We start from the raw sequence: 27,676 nt of genomic DNA on the forward strand, positions 1-27,676 counted from the left end.
TTTGAGACCAGCCTGGCCAACATGGCAAAACCCTGTCTCTACTAAAAATACAAAAAATTAGCCGGGCATGGTGGCAGGTGCCTGTAGTCCCAGCTACTTGGGAGGCTGAGGCAGGAGAATGGCATGAATTCGGGAGGCAGAGCTTGCAGTGAGCCAAGCTCACACCACTGCACTCCAGCCTGGGTGACAGAGCGAGACTCCGTCTCAAATTAAAAAAAGGGTTTCATTCTGTTGTGTAGGCTGGAGTGCAGTGACACGATCATAGCTCACTGCAGCCTTGAACTCCTGGGCTCAAGCAATCCTTCTTCCTCAGCCTCCTGAGTAGCTGGGACCACAGGCACACATCACCACCCCTGGCTAATTTTTATTTTTGTATTTTTATTTTACTGTATTTATTTTGAAACAGAGTCTTGCTCTGTCCTCCAGGCCAGAGTGCAGTGGCGCAGTCTTGGCTCTCTGCAACTTCTGCCTCCTAGGCTCAAGTGATTCTCGTGCCACGGCCCCCTGAGTAGCTGGGATTACAGGTGCCCACCACCACGCCCAGCCAATTTTTGTATTTTTTGTAGAGACAGGGTTTTGCCATGTTGGCCAGGCTGGTCTCGAACTCCTGGCCACAAGGGATCCATCCACCTCGTTCTCCCAAAGTGCTGGGATTACAGGCGTGAGCCACTGAGCCTGGTCATTATTTTTATTTTACTTTTTTTTTTTTTTTTTGAGACGGAGTCTCGCTTTGTCACCCAGGCTGGAGCGCAGTGCCAGGATCTCGGCCTCTGCCTCCCAGGTTCACGCCATTCTCCTGCCTCAGCCTCCCAAGTAGCTGGGACTATAGGCGCCTGCCACCACACCCGGCTGATTTTTTGTATATTTAGTAGAGATGGGGTTTCACCGTGTTAGCCAGGATAGTCTCGATCTCCTGACCTCGTGATCCACCCGCCTCGGCCTCCCAAAGTGCTGGGATTACAGGCATGAGCCACCGCGCCCAGCCGCTTATTTTACTTTATTTTTAAGATAGAGTCTCACTCTGTCATCCAGGCTGAAGGGCAGTGGCGTGATTGCGGCTTACTGTACCCTCAACCTCCTGGGCTCAAGCAGTCCTCCCATCTCAGCTTCCCGAGTAGCTAAGACTACAGGCATGAGCCACCGTGTGCAGCTAATTGTTGTTGGTATTTTTTTTTTTTTTTTTTGGAGAGATGGGGGCTCCCTATGTTGCCCAGGCTGATCTCAAACACCTGTACTCAAGTGATCCTCTGGCTTCAGCCTCCTAAAATGCTGGGATTACAGATGTGAGCTACTGTGTACAGCCTAATTCACAAATTTTTTGGAGACAGGATCTTGCTGTGTTGCCCAAGCTGGTCTCAAACTCCTGGTCTCAAGGAATTTCCCTGCCTCGGCCTCCCAGAGTGAGACCCAGACTTAAAAGATTTCCAGCTGCCTCAGCCTATAGCATAAGATCAGATATTGATTGAGAGGAGGATGGGCTAGCCAACAACACTGGTGGACTGCAGTTTTTTATTTTTACCACTGAAGCTGGTTAAGATCCTGTGAGGAAATATACAGTGTAGTAAAGTTATCAGATATGGCTGTCAGGTTAGCAAGATGAAGACTATTTAGGTGTGTCAGCTTCTGTCAGGCAGGCTGCAATGACAACGGTACTGTGCTTATTTACTTTTGCTTTTTCTCTAGGACCGTAGCATCCTGAGACATTTTGAATTGACACTTCTCAAGATTTGACTGGATCAGAGTTCATCATGTCAAAGTTGAAAAGCTCAGAGTCAGTCAGGGTGGTGGTTCGCTGTCGGCCCATGAATGGCAAGGAAAAGGCTGCTTCGTATGACAAAGTGGTGGATGTGGATGTTAAGCTGGGGCAGGTGTCTGTGAAGAACCCCAAAGGGACGGCCCATGAAATGCCCAAGACCTTCACCTTTGATGCCGTCTATGACTGGAATGCCAAGCAGTTTGAACTGTACGATGAGACGTTCCGACCACTTGTTGACTCTGTCCTGCAAGGTTTCAATGGAACCATTTTTGCCTATGGACAAACTGGGACAGGAAAAACCTACACCATGGAAGGAATCCGTGGTGACCCTGAAAAAAGAGGAGTCATTCCTAACTCATTTGACCATATCTTCACCCACATCTCTCGATCCCAGAATCAACAATACCTGGTCAGGGCTTCTTACTTAGAGATCTACCAGGAGGAGATCCGAGATTTGCTCTCAAAGGATCAGACCAAAAGGCTTGAGCTCAAAGAGAGGCCTGACACAGGAGTGTATGTGAAAGACCTGTCTTCCTTTGTCACCAAGAGTGTGAAGGAGATAGAGCATGTGATGAATGTGGGGAACCAGAACCGTTCTGTCGGTGCTACCAACATGAACGAGCACAGCTCGCGTTCTCATGCAATTTTCGTTATCACTATTGAGTGCAGCGAGGTGGGCCTCGATGGTGAAAACCACATCCGTGTAGGAAAATTGAACCTTGTAGATCTTGCTGGCAGCGAACGGCAAGCCAAGACCGGCGCACAAGGGGAGAGATTAAAAGAAGCTACCAAGATCAACCTCTCCCTTTCCGCTTTGGGTAATGTCATCTCTGCTCTAGTGGACGGCAAAAGCACTCACATTCCATATCGGGACTCAAAGCTTACCAGGCTCCTCCAAGATTCCCTTGGTGGCAATGCCAAGACTGTGATGGTGGCCAACGTGGGGCCTGCCTCTTACAACGTAGAAGAGACTCTGACCACTCTGCGATATGCCAACCGTGCCAAAAACATTAAGAACAAACCAAGGGTCAATGAGGACCCCAAGGATGCCCTCCTTCGAGAATTCCAGGAAGAGATTGCTCGGCTCAAGGCCCAGCTGGAAAAACGGTCCATTGGTAGGAGGAAGAGGCGAGAGAAGCGGAGGGAAGGTGGTGGCAGTGGTGGGGGTGGGGAAGAGGAGGAGGAGGAGGGAGAAGAGGGTGAGGAGGAAGGGGATGATAAGGATGATTACTGGCGGGAACAGCAAGAAAAACTGGAGATTGAGAAGCGGGCCATTGTAGAGGATCACAGCTTGGTTGCAGAGGAGAAGATGAGGCTGCTGAAGGAGAAAGAGAAAAAGATGGAGGACCTGCGGCGGGAGAAGGATGCTGCCGAGATGCTGGGCGCCAAGATCAAGGTACCATACCCGTACCCTTCCTTAGGCCCTTGCCCTGTCACTGCTTTTGCTTTCATCAAACAACAACAAAAAACATAACCATATGAGGGATGATGTCTCTCATCAGTTTTGGATTTCCAACAGCTCATGATATCCAGTACTCAGTAAACCTCTGTTTAATTGACATGAATATGATTTTTTCACATTTACAAAAATGAAAATTGAATTCATAATGAGAATAATTATTATGTATGCACATAGTATAAAGAACAGCAACGCCTGTAATCCCAGCACTTTGGGAGGCCGAGGCGGGCGGATCACGAGGTCAGGAGATCGAGACCATCCCGGCTAAAACGGTGAAACCCCGTCTCTACTAAAAAAATACAAAAAATTAGCCGGGCGTAGTGGCGGGCGCCTGTAGTCCCAGCTACTTGGGAGGCTGAGGCAGGAGAATGGCGTGAACCCGGGAGGCGGAGCTTGCAGTGAGCCGAGATTGCGCCACTGCACTCCAGCCTGGGCGACAGAGCGAGACTCCGTCTCAAAAAAAAAAAAAAAAAAAAAAAAAAAAAAAAGAACAGCAATAAAAGTAACACCCACGTACCCCCCCACCCAGTGTAAGAAATAGAACAACATCCATTTTTCTTTTTTTTTTTTTTTTTGAGATGGAGTTTCACTCTCGTCACCCAGGCTGGAGTGCAGTGGCGCGATCTCGGCTCACTGCAACGTCTGCCATCCGGGTTCAAGTGATTCTCTTGTCTCAGCCTCCAGAGTACCTGGGATTACAGGTGCCTGCCACCACGCCCGGCTAAGTTTTGTATTTTTAGTAGAGATGGGGTTTCACTATGTTGGCCTGGCTGGTCTCGAACTCCTGACCTCAGGTAATCTGCCTGTCTCAGCCTCCCCAAGTGCTGGGATTACAGACGTGAGCCACCGTGTCCGGCTTTTTTTTTTCTTTCTTTCTTTTTTTTTTTTGAGACAGGATCTTGCTCTGTCAACCCTGGAGTGCAGTGGCCCAATCACTGCAGCCTTGACCTCCTAGGCTCAAAGGATCCTCCCACCTCAGCCTCCCAAGTAGCTAGGACTACAGGCACGCAACTTTGCCTGGCTAAATTTTTTAAATTTTTTGTAGAGACATGGTCTCACTATGTTGTTCAGGCTGGTCTCAAACTCCTGGGCTCGAATGATTCTCCCACCTCCCCCTCCCAAAGTGCTGGGATTACAGGCGTGAGCCACTGCACCCAGCTGATACCTATATCTTTAGTAGCTCCTTGCGTTTCCCTCCCCAACAGATAACCATCATCCTGAATTCGGTGTTTATTGTTTCCTTGCTTTTCCTTATAGTTTTACTTTCTACATGTATATTTCTAAAGAAAACATGGTTTCGTTTTCATATAATTTTTTGCTTTTATGTAAATGGAATCCCACTCATGCCATTTGCTTTTATTTTTGCAACATTACGTTCATGAGATTTATCCATGTTGATGCCTGAAGCTGTGGTTCACTCATTATTACTGTTCCAAGTATTCCATGGTATTCCATTCTCCTGGTGTATGGGTTGTTTCCAGTTTCTGCTGTGAATGCTCTTGTGCTTGGCTTCAGGAGAACATGGACGTGCAAGATTGTCTTGTTTGGCACTGTTAGGTCTTAGGGTATTTGCAGCTTCAACTTCTCTAGACAAGGACAAGTTGTTTTCTAAAGTGGTTGTGCAGATTGAAACACCTCGCAGCAGGGTATCAGTTCTGGATGCCCCGCATCCTTACCAGCACTTGTGATGATCAGACTAACATTTGCATATAGTATAGCCTCTCAGTGCAGTTTCAGTATGCAGTACCCTGATTACACAAGATAAGGAACACTTCCATCACCCCCAAAATGTCCTCATGCTACTTTCTTATAGTCAGCCTCCTCTCCCAACCCCTGTGTGCTAATATATTTCTTTACATCCATTCCATTTTCCACCCAATGGCTAGTTAGCATTCTGGAGTGCTGAGGCTCCCATTGTTTTGAGCCTTCTTTCTGGTGGCAATGCACTATGCCTGCAGTTGCCTGGACTCTGAGCTTCCACTGGGCTTTAATGGCAGAGGAGAGTGCAAAGGTAGACTTGGAAGGCTGAGGATGGCCACTGGCTAACCACAAGGCAGAATTCCTTGGAAATGTTCAGTTCTGTTTTATTGAATTCATGCAAACTTTGATTTCTATCCTAAAATGTCTCCATGTTTATAAATTTTAAAATTACAAGTTATCTTTGCCTCCCTCCTACCCCTACTGTATGAAGCTGTACTGTTTTTTTGTTTGTTTGTTTTAATCAGTGGCTTCATAGTAGCCCTTTCACAGAGCTGGGTGCTATTTTACTTCAGAGGCAGGGTTTTAAAACCTTGAAAGTCCCTTCTAGCACTTTTAAGACCTGATGTGAAAATGGAGTCGTATACAACACAATTAGGAGGTAACTTTGTTCCAGGGAGGGGTTCTGAGATGCCATTATGTCAAAGCACTTCATGCCTTCTCACTGCTGCACAGTAAGCGCGACTGGCTGTGCCCATATTTTGTTTTGTTTTGTTTTGTTTTGAGAAAGGGTCTCACTCTGTCACCCAGGTTGGAGTGCAGTGGCGTGATCTTGGCTCACTGCAGCCTTGACCTCCCAGGCTCAAGCAATCTTCCCACCTCAGCCTTCGAGTATCTGGGACTACAGGTGTGCACTGCCATGCCCAGCTAATTTTGTTGATTTTCTGTAAAGACAAGGTCTCACTATGTTGCCTAGGCTGGTCTTGAACTCCTAGACTCAAGCAATCCTTCCACCTTAGTCTCCCAAAGTGTCAGGATTACAGGCGTGAGCCACCGCACCCTTATGTCCGGCCTGGGTATGCCCATATTTGACTTGCATACTGTCTTTTAGGATCAGATCTGTTATTCAAGGCCAGGAGCACCTAGATTCTCTAAACAACCCCTCAGAGAAAGTTGAACTCTCAGAGGCTGAGTCTGCAAGATTCAGCATCATCTTAAGGTCACTGCATCTCTTAGACATTTTGACTATGGAGAATGACATTATTTCTGTCTTTCTCAATCCCTGGATGCTGTGAAATCATAAAAGAATGTTAGAGGCTGGGCGCGGTGGCTCACGCCTGTAATCCCAACACTTTGGGAGGCCCAGGCAGGTGGATCCCTTGAGGTCAGGAGTTCAAGGCCAGCCTGGCCAACATGGTGAAACCCTGTCTCTACTAAGAATACAAAAATTAGCTGGGTGTGGTGGCATGCACCTGTAGTTCCAGCTACTTGGGAGGCTGAGGCACGAGAATTGCTTGAACCTGGGAGGCAGAGGTTGCAGTGAGCCAAGATCATGCCACTGCACTCCAGCCTGGGCGACAAAGCGAGACTCCATCTAAAAAAAAAAAAAAGAATGTTAGAGTGGTTAGGTATTGTTAGGTATGTATGTGGAGTTTAGCAATCTAGTCCAGCCCCTTCATTCGAGAGGTGAGGAAACAGGCTCAGAGGACTCACTGAAAGATGGCAGCAGAGCTCCAGTGAGGTTTATAAGTTTCTTAAAAGTTGTGCAGTTTTGGGGTCCCATACTTTTTAGGTCAAAATCATTCTCATGGCTTCAGCCCCTATCAAAATGCTGAAGGCTCCCAATCTGTATATCTAGCCTAGCACTGTCTCCTGCCATCCAGGCCCATTGTATGTCTAGCCTAGCACTGTCTCCTGCCATCCAGGCCCAATAACCTTCTGCCCACTGGGATGCTCACAGCCACTCAGAGCCTGCTCTTGCCTTCCTTATCTCAGGGAAGCCAGACCCCTGGGAGTTATCCTTGCCAGCAGCCACTCCCTCTCACTTACAGCCAGGCCGTCCCAAAGCCTTTGGATCCTGCCTCATCAGGGTCTCTTGGACTCATCTACTCTGCCCTCCCCAACTAGGGAGGAGGCCTAGCCCAGGCCTAGACCCCTGCAGTGGCTTCCTGTCATGTCTCCCTCCATCCTGCCAGTCCTTTGCCATGCTTCCCATTGCAGGGGAGTAATGTTTCTAAAACACACATCTGATTGTGTAGCCTCATGCTCAAAAGAATATGTCAGTGGTTCCCCGAACTTCTCAGGATCAAGAAGTTTAGTCTCCTTGACAGGGATTTAGGTCAACTTCATCACTTCCCACCTTCCCCTCACAAAACAATCTTTTTTTCTTACCTAATTCCTATTTTTTAACTTCAGCTGTCTGTGTATCTGGCCCTGCAGACAGAAAGCTTTCTCTGACTCCCTCTAAAAGTCTGAATTCTCTGACTGGGCGCTGTGCTCATGCCTATAATCCCAGCAGTTTGAGAGGCCAAGGCAGAGGATCTCTTGAGGCCAGGAATTCAAGACCAGCCCAGACAACATAGCAAGATTTCACCTCTACAATCAATCAGTCAATCAACCAATCAGCCAAGTGTGGTGGTGTACACCTGTAGTCCCAGCTGCTTGGGAGGCTGAGGTGGGAGGATTGCTTGAACTAAGGAGGTCAAGGCTGCAGTGAGCTGTGATCGTGCCACCGCATTCCAGCTTGGGTGACAGAACTAGACCCTGTCTTTAAAAAATTTTAAAAAATCCCCACAGAGTCTGAATTCTATCCCATCAGTGTGCCTCTCCCATGAATTACTGTGTCCTTTCCTCATGATGGCATCTGGCGCCATATGGTTAAAGCCTGCTTGCTTGTCTGTTTTCCTCAGTGGACTCGGAGCTTTGTGATTCACACTCACATTGCATCCCCAGGACCTAACATAAAGGGTCTGCTTAATATGTTCTAAGTGGGGTTAATACTTTGTAGAAACAAGCAAAAAAAAAAAATTTGTTAAAGCTGAAATTCATGTATCTGAAGAAACTGTATCTTCAGTGTTACCAAGAAGCCTCTAGTGAAGCTGCCCCAGTCCCTCACCAGTGATGGATGGGCACAGCTGAGCACAGTGTATTTTTTCCCAGAGTTTGTCCCTTTTGGCTCAGTCCTGAGCTCTTTATCTTTCACAGGCTCCCCTGTGAGGAATTATGTTCTGAGAGAAACCGTTCATGAGATGGATTCTACTTTGTTTCTCACTCAGGCCATGGAGAGTAAGTTGCTTGTTGGAGGAAAAAATATAGTAGATCATACGAATGAACAGCAGAAAATCCTGGAGCAGAAACGACAGGAAATTGCAGAGCAGGTAACTTTTCATTCTTTTTCAGGGAGAATGGGTGAGGTAAGGTGTGTTTATGCTGCAGAGCAAACGTCTCATATTAGACTCTCTTCAAAGAGAATGAGAGCAAGGTGTGTCTGCCTCATCCTAGCTGGAGACTCTGATCCTAGCTTGGGGAACCCAGCATAGACACAGTCTCTAGGGCAAGCTGATGAATTTTGTCATGTTGCTCAGAAACGTCGAGAAAGAGAAATCCAGCAACAGATGGAAAGTCGAGATGAGGAGACCTTGGAACTTAAAGAGACATACAGCTCATTGCAGCAAGAGGTGGACATCAAGACCAAAAAACTCAAAAAGGTATGAAAGGAATGAGGCCAGATGGAGTTGCCTTGAGACTTGGGGAAAGGGAGAACTCTACCCTTTGGACAGACACCCTCCTCACCTGCCTCTCCCCTCATTCCAGCTCTTCTCCAAGCTTCAGGCAGTGAAGGCTGAGATCCATGACCTCCAAGAAGAACACATCAAGGAGCGCCAAGAGCTAGAGCAGACTCAGAATGAGCTCACCAGGGAGCTGAAACTCAAGTAAGTGCCAGGCCTTCCATAGTGCCCCCAAGCCACTTGCTGAGTCATTGATCTCGTTTGTTTAGTTAGAAACAGCCCTGGCTGGGCTTGGTGGCCTACGCCTGTAATCCCAGTGTTTTGGGAAGCGGAGGCGGGCAGATCACCTGATGTCAGGAGTTCGAGACCAGCCTGACCAACATGGTGAAACCCCGTCTCTACTAAGAAATACAAAAATTAGCTGGGCGTGGTGGTGCATGCCTGTAGTCCTAGCTACTTGGGAGGCTGAGATAGGAGAATCGCTTGAACCCGGGAAGTGGAGATTGCGGTGAGTTGATATCGTGCCACTGCACTCCAGCCTGGGCGACGGAGTGAGAAAAAAACACAAAAAAAGAAATAGCCCTGAGGACAGGTCCTTCTCCAGCTCATCTCCTGCCACCCCATGTTCTGTTCATTCCTGAAAAAGTCACTTTCCATCTCTGGATCCCATCTGTTAACTGAATGACTTCATCAGGTGATCTCCAAGTTCCCTTCTAACCCTACCTTCTCGAAGCTTTTAAAGATTCTGGTCTTACATCTGTCTGATGATAAGAGGGAATATTTTATTAACTTGACTTTTTATTGTGACAATTTTCTGAATGGTATAATAAATACCCAAGTACCCATCACCCAGATTCAAGGATTAACAAGCTTTTGCCATCTATCTTTCACAAAAATATTTTAAAGCAAATCTTAACCTCATGTTATCTCACTCCTACATACTTATATATATATATATATGATCACAGTGGTTTTTTTTTTTTTTGAGACAGAGTTTTGCTCTATCACCCAGGCTGGAGTGCAGTGGCACAATCACAGTTCACAGCAGCCTGTAACTTGTGGGCTCAAACAGTCCTCCCACCTTAGCCTCCCGGGTAGCTGGAACTACAGGTGTGTGCCACTATGCCCAGCTAATTTTTAAAAAAAATTTTATAGAGATAGAGTCTCTCTATGTTACCTAAGCTGATCTCAAACTCCTAGGCTCAAGCAATCCTCCTGTTTCAGCCTCCCAAAGTGCTGGGATTATAGGTGTGAGCCACCACACCCAGCCCACAATACTGTTTTTAAAAAAGCTTAATTGAGACATACTTCACATACCATACAATTCACATATTTAAAGTGTACAAATCAGTCCGGGCATGGTGGCTCATGCCTGTAATCCCAGCATTTGGGAGGCCGAGGCAGGTGGATCACCTGAGGCCAGGAGTTCAAGACCAGCCTGGCCAACATGGTGAAACCCCGTCTCTACTAAAAATCCAAAAATTAGCTGGGTGTGATGGCGTGTACCTGTAATCCCAGTTACTCAGGAGGCTGAGGCAGGAGAATCTCTTGAACCTGGGAGGCGGAGGTTGCAGTGAGCTGAGATCACACCACTTTACTCAAGCCTGGGTGACACAGCGAGATTCTTGTCTCAAAAAAAAAAAAATTAAAAAATGATAAAGTATACAAATCAGTGTTTTTTTAAAAGCATATATATGCATAGGGCTATAAAACCACCACTACAATCTAATTTTAGAACATTTTTATTACTCTCCTCTAAAAGAAACTCTACCAGTTAGTAGTCACTCCTCATTACCCCCTTTCCCAACCCGAAGTAATCACTAATCTGCTTCCTGTCTCTATGGCTTTGCCTATTCTGGCCATCTCATATAAATGGAATCACACACTGTGTGGCCTTTTTGGCCTGGTGTCTTTTGCTTAGCATGACGCTTTCAAGGATCGTCCATGCCGTAGCATGGATCAACAGATATCTGGTAGTCCCAACATCAATTGTTCTTTATTATGACTGAATAATATTGCACTGTATGAATAGGACACATATTTATTTATTTTTCAGTTTATATACATTCCGATTATTTCTAGTCTTTGGCTATTATGGATAATACTTCTATAAGCATTCATGTATAAGGTTTTGTATGGATGTGTGTTTTCATTTCTCTGGGATACATTCATAGGAGTGGAATTGCTGGGTCATATGGTAACTCAGTGTTTAACTTTTTGAGAGAATGCCAAACTGTTTGCCACAGTGGCTGCACTATTTTACATTTCTACCACCAATTTCTCCACATCTTCTTTTTTTTTTTTTTCTTTGAGACAGTCTCGTTCTGCCACCCAGGCTGGTGTGCAGAGGTGCAGTCTCAGCACACTGCAACCTCCACCTCCTGGGCTCAAGCGATCCTCCCACCTCAACCTCTGGAATAGCTGGGACTATAGCGGCATGCCACCCTACTTGGCTAATTTTTGTGTTTTTTGTAGAGATGGGGTTTCACCATGTTGCCTAGGCTGGTCTCAAACTCCTGGGCTCAAGCAGTCTGCCCGACTTAGCCTCCCAAAGTGCTAGGATTACAAGTGTGAGCCACCATGCCCGGCCTCTCCACATCCTTGTCGACACTTGTTATTTCCTGTCTCTTTTATCATAGACATCCTAACGAGTGTGAAATGGTACTTCATTATAGTTTTGATTTGCATATTTCTCTGATGACTAATGATGTTGAGCATCCTTTCACGGGCTTATTGGCCATTTGTATGTCTTTGGAGAAATATCTATACAAATCCTTTACCCCATTTTAAAATGGGGTTGTTTCATATATATATATATGTATATATTTCGTATATATATGAAATATATATATTTCATACACACACACACACACATATGTGTATATATATAGTTTTTTTTTGTTTTGTTTTTGTTTTTTTTTTTTTTTTTTTTGGAGTTGGAGTCTCGCTCTGTCATCCAGGCTGGAATGCAATGGCGTGAACTTGACTCATTGCAACCTCTGCCTCCTGGGTTCAAGCGATTCTCATGCCTCAGCCTCCCGAATAGCTGGGAATACAGGCACCCGCCACCATGCCCGGCTGATTTTTGTATTTTTAGTAGAGATGGGGTGTCACCATGTTGCCCAGGCTGGTCTTGAACTCCTAACCTCAGGTGATCCACCTGCCTTGGCATCCCAAAGTGCTTGGATTACAGGCATGAGCCACCATGTCCAGCCAATAATTAAGTTTTAAGAGTTTTTTTTGAGACAGAGTCTGGGTCTGTCACCCAGGCTGGAGTGCAATGGCATGATCTTAGCTCACTGCAGCCTCTGCCTCCTGGGTTCAAGTGATTGTCCTGCTTCAGCCTCCCGAGTAGCTGGGACTATAGGCATGTGCCACCATGCCCAGCTAATTTTTGTATTTTTAGTAGAGACGGGGTTTTACCATCTTGGCCAGGCTGGTCTGGAACTCCTGACCTCAGGTGATCCACCCGCCTCAGCCTCCCAAAATGCTAGGATTACAGGCGTGAGCCACTGTGCCCGGCTGAGTTTTAAGAGTTCTTTATATTAATATATTATGAATACCACTTTCTCATGAGATTCATGATTTGAAGATGCTTTCTGTTATTCTGAGTTGTTTTTAAACTTTCTTGATGGTATTACTTATAGCACAAAAGATTTCCGTTGTGATATAGCCCAATTTAATTGTATTTTCTTTTGTTTATTTTACTTTTGGTATTGTATCTAGATTTGCCTTTTCTGGACCTTTCATATAAGTTTATAAATGAAATAATGTTGGAATAATGTGGCCTTTTGTGACTGCTTTCTTCATATGTGTGTGTGTGTGTGTGTGCATGTGTGTGTTTTGTTAGTTTTTTTTTTTTTTTAGAGATAAGGCCTTCTTCTGTCAATCAGACTGGAGTGCAGTGGTGCCATCATAGCTCACAGCCTTGACCTCTTGGGTTCAAGTAATCTTCCTGCTTGAGCCTCCTGAGTTGCTAGGACTTCAGTTGCATGCTAGCACACCTGGCTAATTTTTTAAAATTTTTTCATAAGGATGGGTCTTGCTGTGTTGCCAAAGCTAGTATAGTGTTTTCAACAGTCTTCCATGTTGTAGCATGTATCAATACTTTATTCATTTTTTATGACCAAATAATATTCTGTTGTATAAATATACCACATTTTATTTATCCATTCATTATTTGATGGACATTTGGGTTATTTCTACTTTTGGGTGTTATGAATAATGCTGCTGTGAACATTCATATTCAAGTTTCTTTTGTGGACGCATGTTTCATTCTCTTAGATCCTCTAAGAGGCTTATAGTGTTAGGTCTTACATTTAGGTCTATGATCCATTTGAGTTAATTTCTGTGTATGGTATGAGGTAGGGTTTCAAGTACAGTGTTTTGGATGCAGATATCTAGTTGTTCCAGCACCATTTGTTGAAAGGGCTTTTCTCTCCCATTTCATTGTCTTGGCATACTTATTGAAAGTCAGGGCCGGGCGCTGTGGCTCATGCCTGTAATCCCAGCATTTGGGAGGCCGAGGTGGGTGGATCACCTGAGGTCAGGAGTTCGAGATCACCCTGGCCAATATGGTGAAACCCTGTCTCTACTAGAAATACAAAAATTAGCCAGGTGTGGTGGTGCACACCTGTAGTCCCAGCTACTCAGGAGGCTGAGGCAGAGGAATCCCTTGAACCTGGGAGGTGTAGGTTGCAGTGAGCTGAGATCATGCCACTGTACTCCAGCCTGGGCAACAGAGCAAGACTCTGTCTCAAAAAAAAAAAAAAGAAAGTCAGTTGACCGTAATTAAGCATTTATTTATTTATTTCTGGACTTTCAATACTGTTCCATTGTTCTATATATCTATCCTCATGCTAGTACCATTCTGTCTTAATTACTATAGCTTTGTTAGTTTTGAAATCAGGAAGTGTGAGTCCTCCAGCCTTGTTCTTTTTCAGGAGTGTTTTGACTGTTCAGGGTCCCTTGCATTTCCATATTCAAACATACTTTGTTTTACTGCACTCTGCTTTGTTATAATTCACAGATATTACATTTTCTACAAATTGAAGGTTTGTGGAAACCCTGCATAAAGCAAGTCTGTTGGCACCATTTTTTCAACAGCATATGCTCTCTTCATGTCTCTGTGTAAGCATTTATTAGCAATAAAGTATTCTTAAAGTCTATACTTTTTGTAGACAAAATGGTATTATACATTTAATAGACTACAGTATAGTGTAAGCATAACTTTTATATGCACTGGGAAACCAAAAAATTGTGTTACTTGCTTTATTGTGATACTTACTTTATTGGAGTAGTCTGGAACCAAACCCACAGTATCTCTGAGGTATGCCTCTACATTTTAAGGTCAGCTTGTCAATTTCTGCAAACAAAGCCAGCTGGGATTTTGATATTGATCACATTGAATCTGTAGATCAATTTGGGCAATATTGTAATCTTAACAGTATTAAGTATTCAGATCCATGAACATGAGATGTCTTTCCATTTATTTATTATTTCTTTAATTTTTCTCGAGAATGTTTTGTAGTTTTCAGTGTATAATTCTTACACTTTTGTTAAATTTATACCTAAGGGTTTTTTGGGTGCTATGGTATATGACATTGTTTTCTTAATTTTATTTTTGGAATATTAATTACTAGTATATAAAAATACTGGCTGGGCATGGTGGCTCACACGTGTAATCCCAGCACTTTGAGAGGCCCAGGTGGACGGATCACCTGAAGTCAGGAGTTTGAGACCAGCCCGGCCAACATGGTGAAACCCTGTCTCTACAAAAATACAGAAATTAGCCAGGCGTGGTGGCGGGTGTCTATAATCCCAGCTACTTGGGAGGCTGAGGCAAGAGAATCGCTTGAACCCTGGAGGCGGAGGTTGCAGTGAGCCGAGATTGCGCCATTGCACTCCAGCCTGGGCGACAGAGCGAGAATCCGTCTCAAAAAAAAAATTTTATATATTTATATATATTTATATATATATTTTTATATATTTATATATATATTTATATATTTATATATATTTATATATATTTATATATTTATATATATTTATATTTATTTATTTATATATATTTATTTATATATATATTTATATATATTTATATATATATTTATATATATTTATATATATATTTATATATATTTATATATATTTATATGTATATTTTTATATATTTATATATATTTATATATACATATTCATATATATTTTTATATATTTATATACATATTCATATATATTTTTATATATTTATATATACATATTTATATATATACATATTTATATATATACATATTTATATATATACACATATTTATATATACATATATTTATATTTATATATATTTATATTTATATATTTATATATTTATATTTATATATATTTATATTTATATATATTTATATATTTATATATATTTATATTTATATATTTATATATATTTATATATTTATATTTATATATTTACATATATTTATATATTTATATTTATATATTTATATTTATATATTTATATATATTTATATTTATATATAATTGATTTTTGTCTACACAATGATATTTTTATACCTAAAAAAATTAAGTTTCTTAGTATTTTCTAGTACCCAATCCACATTCAGATTTTCTTGGTTTGCTCGTTTTAAGATCTACATATTAGGACTACATGTTACATTTGGTTATTAAGTCTCTTAGACTTATTTTAATCTGAGGCAATTCTTTTTATTTTTTATTTTATTTATTTGTTTATTTGAGACAGAGTCTCACTTTGTCGCCAGACTGGAGTGCAGTGGCGCGGTCTCGGCTCACTGCAAACTCTGCCTCCCAGGTTCAAGTGATTCTCCTGCCTCGGCCTCCCAGGTAGCTGGGACTACTCGAGTAGTGAGCCACCACGCCCAGCCAATTCTTTTTATTTTTAAAAATATTTTTCAGCCGAGCATGGTGGCTCGTACCTGTAATCCCAGCACTTTGGGAGGCTGAGGCAGGTGGATCATGAGGTCAGGAGTTCAAGACCAGCCTGGCCAAGATGGTGAAACCCCCATCTCTACTAAAAATACAAGAATTAGCTGGGTGTGGTGGCGGGCGCCTGTAATCTCAACTACTCGGGAGGCTGAGGCAGGAAAATTGCTTGAACCTGGAAGGCGGAGGTTGCAGTGAGCCAAGATTGTGCCACTGCACTCCAGCTGGGGCAACAAGAGCGAAACTCCATCTCAAAAAGTATATATATACATATTTTTCATAGTTGACTTGTTGAAAAGACTGAATCAGATAGCCTGTAGAAATATCCCACATTGTAGGCGGGAGTGGTGGCATGTGCCTGTAGTTCCAGCTACTTGGGAAGCTGAGGCAGGAGGATTGCTTGAGCCCAGGAGTTCAAGGCTGCAGTGAGCCAAGATTATGCCACTGCATTCCAGTCTGGGTGACCGAGTGAGACACCAACTCAAAAGAAAAAAAAAAAAGAAGAAATATACTACATTCTGGATTTGTTGGTCTCTTTCTTCATGGTGTCAATTAACTTGTATCTCTATCCCCTTTATTTAGCTCTAACTGAAAGCTATCTCTGAAGCACGGGTTCCCAACCTTGGCTACAAACTGAGAAGTTTTAAAAATTAATGATGTCTGAGCCCCACCTCAGAGATTCTGATTTAATTGGTCTAGGGCAGTAGTCCTTAAACTTTAGCAGGCATCAGAATTACCTGAAGGGATTGTTAAACACAGATTGCTGGGTATCACACCCGGAGTCTGATTCAGAAAGGCTGGGGCAGGGCCTGAGAATGTTCATTTCTAGTAGGTTCCAGGTATTGCTTCTGCTGGTTTGGTGAATGCACTTTGAGAACTCTTGGTCTCTCATGAGGTCTGGGCAAGATATTTTTCAAAACTCTGTAGGTAACGTTAATGTGCAGCCTGGCCTGAGAAATGTGGAGCTAATAGTTTCAGCCAACAGATGATCTTTGTCTGGATCCATTATTTCATTAGTGGGGTTACAAAATGACCATGCCTGGCCAAAGAAGAAGTTTTCAAAGGGATTCTTTTAATGATCAAATTTTAAATTTGGAAAAGAGCCCTTAAAATTAAATGTAGGCAAGGTGCGGTGGCTCATGCCTATAATCCCAGCACTTTTGGAGGCTGAGGTGGGCAAATTGCCTGAGCTCAGGAGCTCAAGACCAGCCTGGGCAACATGGTGAAACCCTGTCTCTACTAAAAATACAAAAAAATTAGCTGGGCATGGAGACATGTGTCTATAGTCTCAGCTACTCCGGGGGCTGAGGCACGAGAATCGCTTGAACCTGGGAGACGAAGGTTGCAGTGGGCTGAGATTGCGCCACTTTACTCCAGCCTGGGCGACAAAGTGAGACTCTGTCTCCAGAAAAACTAATTAATTAATTAAATGTGTGTGTCGGTCAGTCCTCTTTGCAGGTATGTACATCTAGAAAAAGATCAGGACAAAATATACCAACATAATAATAATAGTTATCTCTGGATAGTGAAATTGTGGGTGATTATGTTTTTTACATTTTCTTTTTGTTGTTGTTGTTGTTTGAGACAGAGTATTGCTCTGTCACCCGGATTGGAGTGCGGTGGCACGATCTTGGCTCACTGCAACCTCTGCCTCCCAGGTTCAAGTGAATTTCATGCCTCAGCCTCCCAAGTAGCTGGGATTACAGGTGCAGGTCAACCACGCACGGCTAATTTTTATATTTTTAGTAGAGACAGGGTTTTGCCATGTTTATCAGGCTGGTCTCGAACTCCTGACCTCAGGTGATCCACCCACCTCGGCCTCCCGAAGCACTGAGATTACAGGTGTGAGCCACTGGGCCTGGCCTGTTTTTTACATTTTCTAATGAATAAATAGAATCATTGTAACCAGAAGAAAGCCAAATATGTGTTATAAAAAATAGTTTCTGAAATGTCAAAGAGAAAATTTTAGCTCCCCAAAATATTTTTTTTTCTAAGGAGTCTATTTTCATTATTATCTCTCTCTCTCTCTCTTTTTTTTTTTTTTTTTTTTTTTTTTTTTTGAGACAGAGTTTTGCTCTTTGGCCCAGGCCAGAGTGCAGTGGTGTGATCTCGGCTCACTGCAACCTCTGCCCTCTGGGTTCAAGTGATTCTCCTGTCTCAGCCTCCTGAGTAGCTGGGATTATAGGTGCCTACTACCACACACAGCTAATTTTTGTATTTTTAGTAGAGACAGAGTTTCGCCATGTTGGCCAGGCTGTTCTCGAACTCCTGACCTCAGGCAATCCACTGGCTCGGCCTCCCAAAGTGTTAGGATTACAGACATGAGCCACCGTGCCTGGCCTATATCTCTTTTTATATCTTTTGAGTAAACAGTGAGTCAGCCTCTTTCTCACAGTACCCTATACCTCTGTGCTGTTTGCTTTGTGTCCCTTCCATGTTCATTTCCTTTTGGCATTGTTTTGTCCTGAGGCTTTAGAAGAGTAAAGGCAGAGATATAATGGGAGACAGTCATCACCATAGAGAGACACCACCAGTGGGTTCCAGTTTCCTTGTTTGATGTGTTTCCTGGGCACTTGTCAGACAGAGACTGTTAGTAGGAATGGTCTTCATTCTCAGGGGCTGAAATCCACTTAGTCCTGCTTTTTATCCTGGTCAGTTAGAATGGGAAATTTTCCAGCTTGGACAACGAGCCATGGGATTGGAGTAAGGCAGTTTAATTTCTTCTGTTTTTGGCATTTTGGAAGTTAATGACCTTGGTTATCAGCACCAGTGGCCCTCTGAAAGATACTTCAGGTAGCAAATGTTCACTCCAATATAGCCCAGGGGTCACCTCCCTCTTGAGCCTGTTCACATCCTGCCCCTTCCCAGGCAGAAGTGACCTCTCCATATTTCTAAGACAGACCACTGTCAGTACCTATTATACCTAACAGGGCTGCACCATTACCCTTTGTTTCAGGCAGGAGCCAGATGTCATTTGTGTCTGTATCTCAGCTCTTTGTATGATGTTAGGCCCATCGTACTTGCTGAGTAAATGTTTGCTATGTGCCTTGACTCTTACCTGATTACTCACCATGCATGAGACCAGATAGCTGACACTTCATATGTATTCTGTATCTGTTTTCACCTGTTATGTGTGCTCTTACAGGCATCTTATTATAGAAAACTTTATCCCTCTGGAAGAAAAAAGTAAAATTATGAATAGAGCCTTCTTTGATGAAGAGGAAGATCATTGGAAACTACATCCTATAACCAGACTGGAGTAAGTCACTATTAACTTCAAGTATATTTTCAAGTATGAGGGAGGAAAAGAATGTTGATAACAAGAGCCCTCTGGTCAACAAAGGGGTTTGATAAGAACACAGTTTGGCTTATTTAAACTCAAAACCCACTGCATTACTGATTTTCTAGCTGCCATAGATCCACCAGGTAAAAGTTTGATCATGAGTGTGGTTTTAGGAATTGGGAGACTTTGTCACTAGTGAGTGAGCAAGTGACCTTTCCAAAGTTCCTGCATTTCTGTTTCTCCAGCTGTGAAGTGAAGTATGCTAGGTCACGTAAGGGGCAATTCAGAGCTGTTATCTTTGTGTGTCATTCTGACCCACAGTGTTGAGAAGGATTCTCATGCTAAGTCTGGGTGCTGCTGGAAAGATGGGAGACACCTGGCAGGGATGCAGAGGTGGGGGGTGTTGACAGCTATGCTTTGTGAATGCTGTCTAAGAACTGGGTGATGATTAAAAATCTCTTCTGGCTTAAAAGATGCATGATGCTCTGAATCAGAAAGCAACTCAAGCAGAAAACAGAAGCATTTCCCGTCCCACTTACGTCAGCCTGCAGTCCAGGGAGTTACTTGCTTCAGGTTCTGTCAGTGTCTTCCGAGTGCTGGTTCCACAGGACTCCAGCCAGGGCTTTAACACTGCAGTTCATTTCCAGGAACCAGCAGATGATGAAGCGGCCAGTCTCAGCCGTGGGATATAAGAGACCATTGAGCCAGCACGCAAGAATGTCCATGATGATTCGTCCAGAGGCCCGATATAGGGTGAGAAGATCCTTCTTGGGTTTTTCTCCTGTCTCTTTTGGAGTCTAGATTTGTGTAAGCCCTTAGATACTATTCCACTCAGAGTTCATACCTTCTTTCCAGAGGTACTTGAAGACATTTATACCAATAACAATTATAACAAATAATAAATAAATAAGCCGAGCACAGTAGCTCACACTTGTAATCCCAGCAGTTTGAGAGTCCAAGGTGGGCAGATTGGTTGATTCCCAGGAGTTTGAGACCAGCCTGGGCAATGTGGCGAAACCCTAACTCTACTAAAAATACAAAAATTAGCCAGGTGTGGTGGTGTGTGCCTGTAGTCCCAGCTACTTGGGAGGCTGAGGTGGGAGGATTACCTGAGCCCAGGAGGCAGAGGCTGCATTGAGCCAAGATCATGCCACAGCACTCTAGCCTGGGTGACAGAGTGAGACCCTGTCTCAAAAAATAAATAAGTAAATATAATAAAAATAATAACTAATAGGCCGGGCGCAGTGGCTGATGCCTGTAATCCCAGCACTTTGGGAGGCTGAGGTTGGTGGATCACCTGAGGTCAGGAGTTCGAGACCAGCCTGGCCAACGTGGTGAAACCCCATCTCTACTAAAAACACAAAAATTAGCTGGGTATGGTGGCAGGCACCTGTAATCCCAGCTACTTGGGAGGCTGAGGCAGGAGAATGGCGTGAACCCAGCGGGTGGAGCTTGCAGTGAGCCAAGATCGCGCCACTGCATTCCAGCCTGGGCAACAGGGCAAGACTCCGTCTCAAAAACAAAAAACAAAAACTAAAAACACAAAAATTAGCCGGGTATGGTGGCAGGCACCTGTAATCCCAGCTACTCGGGAGGCTGAGGCAGGAGAATCGCTTGAACCCAGGAGGCAGGAGGCGGAGGTTGCAGTGAGCCAAGATCGTGCCACTGCACTCCAGCCTGGGTGGCAGAGCGACACTCTGTCTCAAAAAAAAAAAAAAGTCAGTACTAGAGAAGGAGAGTACAAACATCCTGTCTGTCATGGCCAGTAAATATTAACAATGAACTTCAAAATGGCTCTGTGGGAAGGCTGGAGAGAACACAGATGTGTAGTGACAGGAGATGGACCTGTCGTAAAGAACTTCAGGTACTTTCATCTCACAAAATGTGTGTCAGTCATGTAGTCATTTAAAGGGACATCATTGAGGACTATTTAATGACCCCAAAATAGAAAAATAGAAACTCTGCCATGAGAGCCTCTACTTTTTAATTAAATTAAATTAATTAATTAATTTGTTTTGAGATGGAGTCTCGCTCTGTCGCCCAGGCTGGAGTGCAGTGGCGCGAGCTCTGCTTACTGCAACCCCTGTCTCCTGGGTTCAAGCAATTCTGGTGCTTCAGCCTTCCTAGTAGCTGAGACTACAGGCACATGCCACGACACCCAGCTAGTTTTTGTATTTTTAGTGGAGACAGGGTTTCACCATGTTGGCCAAGTTGGTCTTGAATGCCTGACCTCAGGTGATCCACCCACCTCGGCCTCCCAGAGTGCTGGGATTACAGGCATGTGCCAACACGCTCAGCTAATTTTTGTATATTTAGTAGAGACGGGGTTTCACCATGTTGGCCAGGCTGCTCTCGAACTCCTGACCTCAGGTGATCCACCCGCCTTAGCCTCCCAAAGTGCTGGGATTACAGGCGTGAGCCACCGCACTGGCCTTTTTTTTCTTTTTTTTTTTTTTTTTGAGGCAGGATCTCACTGTGTCACCCAAGCTGGAGTGCTGTAGCACAGTCATAGCTCGCTGTATCCTCAGACTCCTCGGCTCAAGTGATCCTCCTGCCTTGGCCTCCCAAAGCACTGGGATGACCATGCCCAGCTGAGCACTTGCTGTGTGCTGGGCATTGTACCCAGCACTTGACTGCTTTCTCTAATTAAGTTTCCCCATCTTCTCTATGCATTCAGTCCTGTTGCTTAAAGGTCAAGTAGTGGGGCAAGTGGCTGAACTAGGATACACAACGTATTAAGTTATAGAGTAATTTACACCAGAAGTATATATATGATATAAAATTTGATGTAAAATATATTGAAATGTAAACTGTTTTTCTCTGGTTGGTGGAAGCACACTCAATGTTTTTTTTCTTTTTGCTCATCTGTATTTTATAACTATCAATAGGGAACTTGTATTATTTTTATAGTGAAAGATTTTCACTTGAAATATTTTTAGATGTTTCTGAGTCTCTCTTGGCAGCCAGAGCCAAACAGAAGATTACGGTTAGTTAGCTCTTTGGGTGCCATTCTTCCTGGCTTTGAGTTATTTAAAAGAAAGAAAGCAAAAGCAAAAAATTAGGTGGAGTTAGGTGTTGTAAAACGGCATCACTTCTTTCAGGCAGGCTCTTTCTTGATAGGCCCTGAATAACAAGCAATTTGCACTTCTATTCTTGGAGGGGCCCTCGATTGCTTGTACTGCCTGTGTCCAGTTGGAGGCTAACCTAGCTGGTGATGGCTGTGCTTCTGCAGGCAGAAAACATTGTGCTGTTAGAGCTGGACATGCCCAGCCGGACCACCAGAGACTATGAGGGTCCAGCCATTGCCCCCAAGGTCCAGGCTGCATTGGATGCGGCTCTGCAGGATGAAGATGAGATACAGGTGGATGCATCATCATTTGAAAGCACTGCAAATAAGAAATCCAAGGCCAGGTGAGTGGCTTTGATGACGTGTGTTTAAACAGAACATGTTTGAACAAGGACAAACCAAAGCAAGAATGCTTGTTTATCATGGAATACTTTGCAGAACACACTAGAAAATATTGCCATATTACTCCTATGTTTACTTATTTATTCTACAAATATTTATGGTTGAGACACTATGCTGGGTATACCGAATACCAGAATACCTAATGTCCCCAGTCCCTTACTATAAGGTGAATGTGTTCTAGTGAAATAGCAGTCAGTTCTTCTGTTCTCATGAGGTGTCCGGTAGTTCTAAGTGCTTTACAAACATTCTCTTAATGATTTCCTGTAAAAACTTAGAAGGCAAATATTATAATCAGTCCCATTTTATAGACAAGAAAACTGAAACTTAGAGAATTTGAGAAAGTAGCCATCTCTAAGGAAACCCAGCAAGTAAGGGCCAAAGCAAGAATTCAAAAATAGGTCAATCCAGATCCACAACCCAGTCTCTGGGCCTCCATGCTAAGTTTACCTCACCCATGTGGTGCAAAACTAGTAATTCTGTCTTATTACATCCTGGATTAAAAGTTGTAGGAAAACAATTGGGTGGAAAACCAAAATGGAAGAAATTCTACCTGCAAACTTAATATTTTTTTATCAATCAGGGAAGGACAGTACAGTCAAGCTTTGGTTTTAAAGAAGAACAATTGCTAAGCATCAGAGTCTCCTTCTCTCAGGTTCCACACCTCTGTTCTGAGGCCATTTTCACCATCCCCAAAGGTTCAGGCTGTGCCAGTGTAGTGGTTTTACAGTTGAACTTGTCGTTTTCAGGCCATTGAAGAATGGCCTGAAATGAAATGTTAATGACATCTGATGTGTCAGGGACAGAGATGGGGACATGTAATATAAACATGTGTTTGACTTTTGCAGGCCTAAAAGTGGAAGGAAGTCGGGATCCTCCTCCTCTTCCTCAGGAACCCCTGCATCTCAGCTTTATCCACAGTCTCGGGGGCTGGTTCCAAAGTAAAGCCAGCTTCTCCTCTCCCAGGGCGGAAACAGCATTTGCCTTCTGAGAGAAGAGACTAGCAAAAAGCTGCAGAGAGGATTCGGCCCAAACTCAGAACTGTTCCCCTGAGGAGAAGCGGTGGCCTCTTTGCAGATCAACCAACTTAATCTGGTTGAACGTGCTGTTCCTAATCTGGCACTCAGCCCCTCTGGGAAACATCTTTTAATTAGCATCTCAGAAATGCATGGGTAAGGTAAAGTGCGATAGTTCAAGTGGAAAGCAAGAGAATGACCAGTGACCTTGCTTCCTTCCCCCTTGCCTTCTTCTCCCCCTTCCCCTGTGCTCCCTTTCTCTCCTCTCTCCTTTTCTAGCCTGTTCTTTACATGGGGCTCCCTTCTTGTTGAACAATAGGGCAGAATCAGGAGTCACCTTAGCAGGACCACATCTTTGGAGCCTCGGGATAAAATGACAGTGAGGTTGAAAAGTGAAAACCCTAGAACTTGAATAGGTGCCTGTTCTTGTAGGGAGAAATGAGAAATCGCATTTGGATCCAGGCCCCAGGTGGGCACCATCAGCAGTCTTGCTTCCATGCACCTCAGTAAGAAGTGGATCTGCCTTTGGGACCTGCTCAGTGAGGAAATCTCTTCCAATTTCTGCTTCTGAATGATTCAATGTTGGGAGCAATAGAAATAACATTCCCTTTGCCTTCTCTGAGTGTTTAGGGAAATAGCTTCTTTAAAACCTCAAAACCATGACCATCCTGTCAAAGACCTAAGTCTGTAAGCTGGTGCCATGTCCATACACCATGTCACTTTACTCTTCATTTGTCACCATCTTTTCCCATGCACGCATACTCTGAACATCCTTGTGTGGGCCCATCCTCTGCATCCAGAGCATGCTCTGCAGTGGGCCTGTTTTGTGGAAGAAAGGAGGCTGTCTCTGCCTTCTCTGATGGGACTGGAGTTGAGGGAAGGAGCTGTATTGTGGCACTTCTGAATTCCCCGTTTTGTTCCATATTGGTATAGAGAGCAGAAGAGTAGCTAGGCAGATGCAGAGATGGAGACATGAGACTCAGTGCAGTGGGCAGGGAAGACATAACAGATGGAAGCAAAGGAATCCTGCCTGCCTTCAGCAGAGAATTCACCGAATCCTAGAACTGTGGCTCCCTCCAGGCAGAGCCTAAGATGCTGGTGAAGAATAGCTGTGTGATTGAATAGGCTCAAAGGAGAGTTCAGAATTCCCATTTACATATTACTAGTTTGGTTTGTAAGTTTTAGTTCCTTGTATTATTGAGATTCAGAGCTTCATTTTATGTTGGTCATTAGGTGAATATTACTCATTTTCCCTCAAGAGAAGCTCATAAGTGTGTGTGGGTGTGAGAGCACGATGGTGCCTGTGTTCTGTGAATGTGTCCATATGTGTCTGTAAGAGAGACAGAGACCAAGAACTTGCCCAATTTTAGAAATACACTAATGTGCAGTTGTTGCCTTTTGTCTGTATTGAAGGCCCATTGAATGACTAATCCAGGCTGGAAGCATTCCCATGTGGGTGTCTGAGTCCATGAGCCAAGCCTGAGGGGACAGTGAGTCTCCAGGTCTGCCACACTGGTGCACCTTGCTGGCACGGTGCCTCAGGAAGGTGGCGACTCAGGTGGGCCTTGAGTTATATTTTAACTCAGCTGCTCAGTTCCCAGGGCACATTTCTGGATCAGAACCCATGGGAAACAGGAGGTACTAAGTGCAATGTCTTAGCATTCTGCAAAATGGAGATCTGTTGTCCAGCGGCTTATCTCCTTTTTAGTAACCCTTCTTTCTGAACCCAGGGCCCTTTTCAGCCTTCCCTCATATTTTCTTGAGATCAAACTTTACTTCTTTCTTATTTACTAAGAATTTGCCTGTTTGAATAAGAACAAAACGCTAAGGTGGGTAGCCTAAGCTGATTTTCTGCTGGTTACACGTGTCTCTCACACCACATTTCCTCAAAGCTAATCTGAATTCTGTAGGCTAAAAATATTCATGTAGCAAATCTGAGAATTGAAAACTGCAGATAACCGGCCGGGTATGGTGACTCATGCCTGTAATCCTAGCACTTTGGGAGGCCGAGGTGGGTGGACCACCTGAGGTTAGGACTTCAAGACCAGCCTGGCCAACATGGTGAAACCCCATCTGTACTAAAAATACAAAAATTTGCCTGGTGTGGTGGTGCATGCCTCTAGTCCTAGCTACTCGGGAGGCTGAGGCACGAGAATCACTTGAACCTGGGAGGCGGAGGTTGCAGTGAGTCGAGATAACACTACTGCATTCCAGCCTGGGTGACAGAGTGAGACTCCCCCTCAAAAAAAAAAAAAAAAAAAAAAAAAACAGAAAGAAAGAAAAAGAAAACTGCAGATAACCCTATACATTAATACTGGTATCTCGAGGTGACTCTTCTGACCAAGGGTGGTTAAGTGACACATAGAACTTTTCTAAGAGAAGACAGACAAGTTGACAGGCATGCCTTGTACTCAGCTGTGTTCATGTGGTGGTCTGTGGAAAGAAAAGAAGACTCATTTGGAAATGAAGCTGTCCCTTTCCAAGCAGTCTCTGGTGCTTTTCTTCTCTCAAAATGGATCCGATAAATATTTGAATAGAGCAGATTGTAGAATGTCGTGCTGTCACCAGAAAGCTGCTGTTTTGGGTTCTGCATTGAGCCAAATATGTAGAGGACCTACCAAGCCCACTGAGGGACTAGGTTTTCATGTCTCTAGTCATACCTAGAATGTTCTGAGCCGTCTGAGGGCCTTCATGCCGGCAGCAGCTAGCAAAGCCAGAAAGCAAGTCTAACAGGATCTAAGATGACCATCAGGAGAAGGAGTTTGAGACTGTGTATGCAACCCCCAATAGACCCCCTTTTACTCTGATCTGGAGAATGTATCTGGCTTCATATTTTCAAGTCACATGTCTCTCAGACCCCTGGATTCAGAACCCAAGGCCACAAATCATAGGCATGAAGCACTTTCTTAAGACTGACCTAACGCTGGATTATTTCCCGTCCAATGCCTGCATGCTGCTTGAATTGCTCCACCCACACCTCCATGACCAAGGGCGCCAGAGTGCTGCAACTGGGGCGTGGGCCGCTCTCTGCTTTTCCTGTCTGACTCTGACAAGTCCTCCCTCACTGAATGTAGAATCGTTGCCAAGTTTCTGAGAAGTGTCGATTCCCTGTTAACATGGATATCAGTTCTGCCTCACATTTCCCACTTGAGGTTGAGGCGTACTGGAGACAACACCTCAGACCATCTGAACCCCATCAGTGGACGAAAATGGGGCTGTTAATATACTCTAAAAGCCATACTAAAAATGCTCTGAGGGAACTGGCTAAGAATAGTGGGCCTGGTGATTGTCTATCACGCAAGGCTTTGTTTTGTACTGTTCAGAAATCTGTCACCTTTCTGCCTGCCCTTGTTTCCTGAATGAAATGCTTCTGGGGTTATTTATGAAAGGAGTGATCCTGGGGCAGGCAGGAGGCAGTGGGCTTCATGGCTCCTTGAAGTTATTACTGATCTTGACCTTCTCTTTGGCTACCTTTAGACAAAGAATACGCCAATCAATACTTGGGGCTCTAAGTTTTACAATTGATATTTATTTGTATCATCTCTTTGTCTAGGAATGTAAAAGTGATTCTAAACTAAGATGTGTAATAAAAATCAATCAGATTTATTGTACCTACAAAAAGGTGTCCTCATAAATGACTAAGGCTTTTGAAAATGACATGCCTGTGGCTGACACACTGCCATTTTCAATAAACATTTTAACTGGGTGGGAGTGGGAAAATGAAGATTGAGTTGGGATGCTGGCATTATTTAATATAGCAACAAGGGGCAGGGTGCAGTGGCTCATGCCTGTAATCCCAGCACTTTGGGAGGCTGAGCCGGGTGGATCACTTCAGGTCAGGAGTTGGAGACGAGCCTGGCCAACATGGTGAAACCCTGTCTGTACTAAAAATACAAAATTGAGTCGGGCGTGGTGGTGCGCACCTGTCATCCCAGCTACTCGGGAGACTGAGGCAGGAGAATCGCTTGAGGCCGAGATTGCAGTAGGCCAAGATTGCACAACTGCACTTCAGCCTGGGCAACGGAGCGAGACTCCGCCTCAAAAATAAATAAGTAAATAAAAATAAATAAATAATGTAGCAACAAGGAAAAGGACACAAAATGAAGAATGATAGAGTGACAAATAAGTGTTTTTCATGTTTTTCCGTGGAGGTTCCTGAGACTGGCCTGGGCAACGGCATGAAATTTCTTTTAACTTTTGTGTTTTGTTTTAAAAATTCTTTTAAATTTACTATTATACATCATACTTTAAAATATATGTGCCTTTTTTTTTTTTTGAGACAGGGCATCATTCTGTTGCCCAGGCTGGAATGCAG

At 43.8% G+C, this 27,676-nt stretch overlaps 1 protein-coding gene across 3 annotated transcripts in view, besides 2 other annotated features; it reads left to right on the plus strand.

The window, feature by feature from the left end:
• The window catches only part of KIF3B (kinesin family member 3B), a 57,361-nt gene extending 30,379 nt beyond the window's left edge, over nt 1–26,982 (plus strand). For all 3 annotated transcript variants that reach the window (NM_004798.4, XM_047440590.1, XM_047440589.1), the window contains exons 2-9: nt 1,684–3,152; nt 8,189–8,290; nt 8,498–8,620; nt 8,727–8,845; nt 18,742–18,855; nt 19,527–19,632; nt 22,112–22,290; nt 23,194–26,982. In NM_004798.4, the coding sequence (NP_004789.1) occupies nt 1,749–3,152; nt 8,189–8,290; nt 8,498–8,620; nt 8,727–8,845; nt 18,742–18,855; nt 19,527–19,632; nt 22,112–22,290; nt 23,194–23,290 (2,244 nt within the window). In that variant the 5' untranslated portion in view covers nt 1,684–1,748 and the 3' untranslated portion in view covers nt 23,291–26,982. The remainder of the gene's footprint in view (nt 1–1,683; nt 3,153–8,188; nt 8,291–8,497; nt 8,621–8,726; nt 8,846–18,741; nt 18,856–19,526; nt 19,633–22,111; nt 22,291–23,193) is intronic.
• Nucleotides 18,299–19,498: an enhancer, noted in NCBI's record as "CDK7 strongly-dependent group 2 enhancer chr20:30914131-30915330 (GRCh37/hg19 assembly coordinates)". NCBI's record gives its function as "activates an origin of replication core promoter dependent on BRD2, BRD4, P300/CBP, MED14 and CDK7 cofactors, with strong dependence on CDK7, by STARR-seq in HCT116 cells {active_cell/tissue: HCT116}" and the evidence as "EXISTENCE:reporter gene assay evidence [ECO:0000049][PMID:35650434]".
• Nucleotides 26,248–26,307: an enhancer, noted in NCBI's record as "active region_17715". NCBI's record gives its function as "activates an Ori minimal core promoter by ATAC-STARR-seq in GM12878 lymphoblastoid cells {active_cell/tissue: GM12878}" and the evidence as "EXISTENCE:reporter gene assay evidence [ECO:0000049][PMID:35858748]".
• Nucleotides 26,983–27,676: the final 694 nt, after the last annotated feature.

Source organism: Homo sapiens, chromosome 20 (assembly GCF_000001405.40).
Source record: "Homo sapiens chromosome 20, GRCh38.p14 Primary Assembly".
Taxonomy (NCBI): domain Eukaryota; kingdom Metazoa; phylum Chordata; class Mammalia; order Primates; family Hominidae; genus Homo; species Homo sapiens.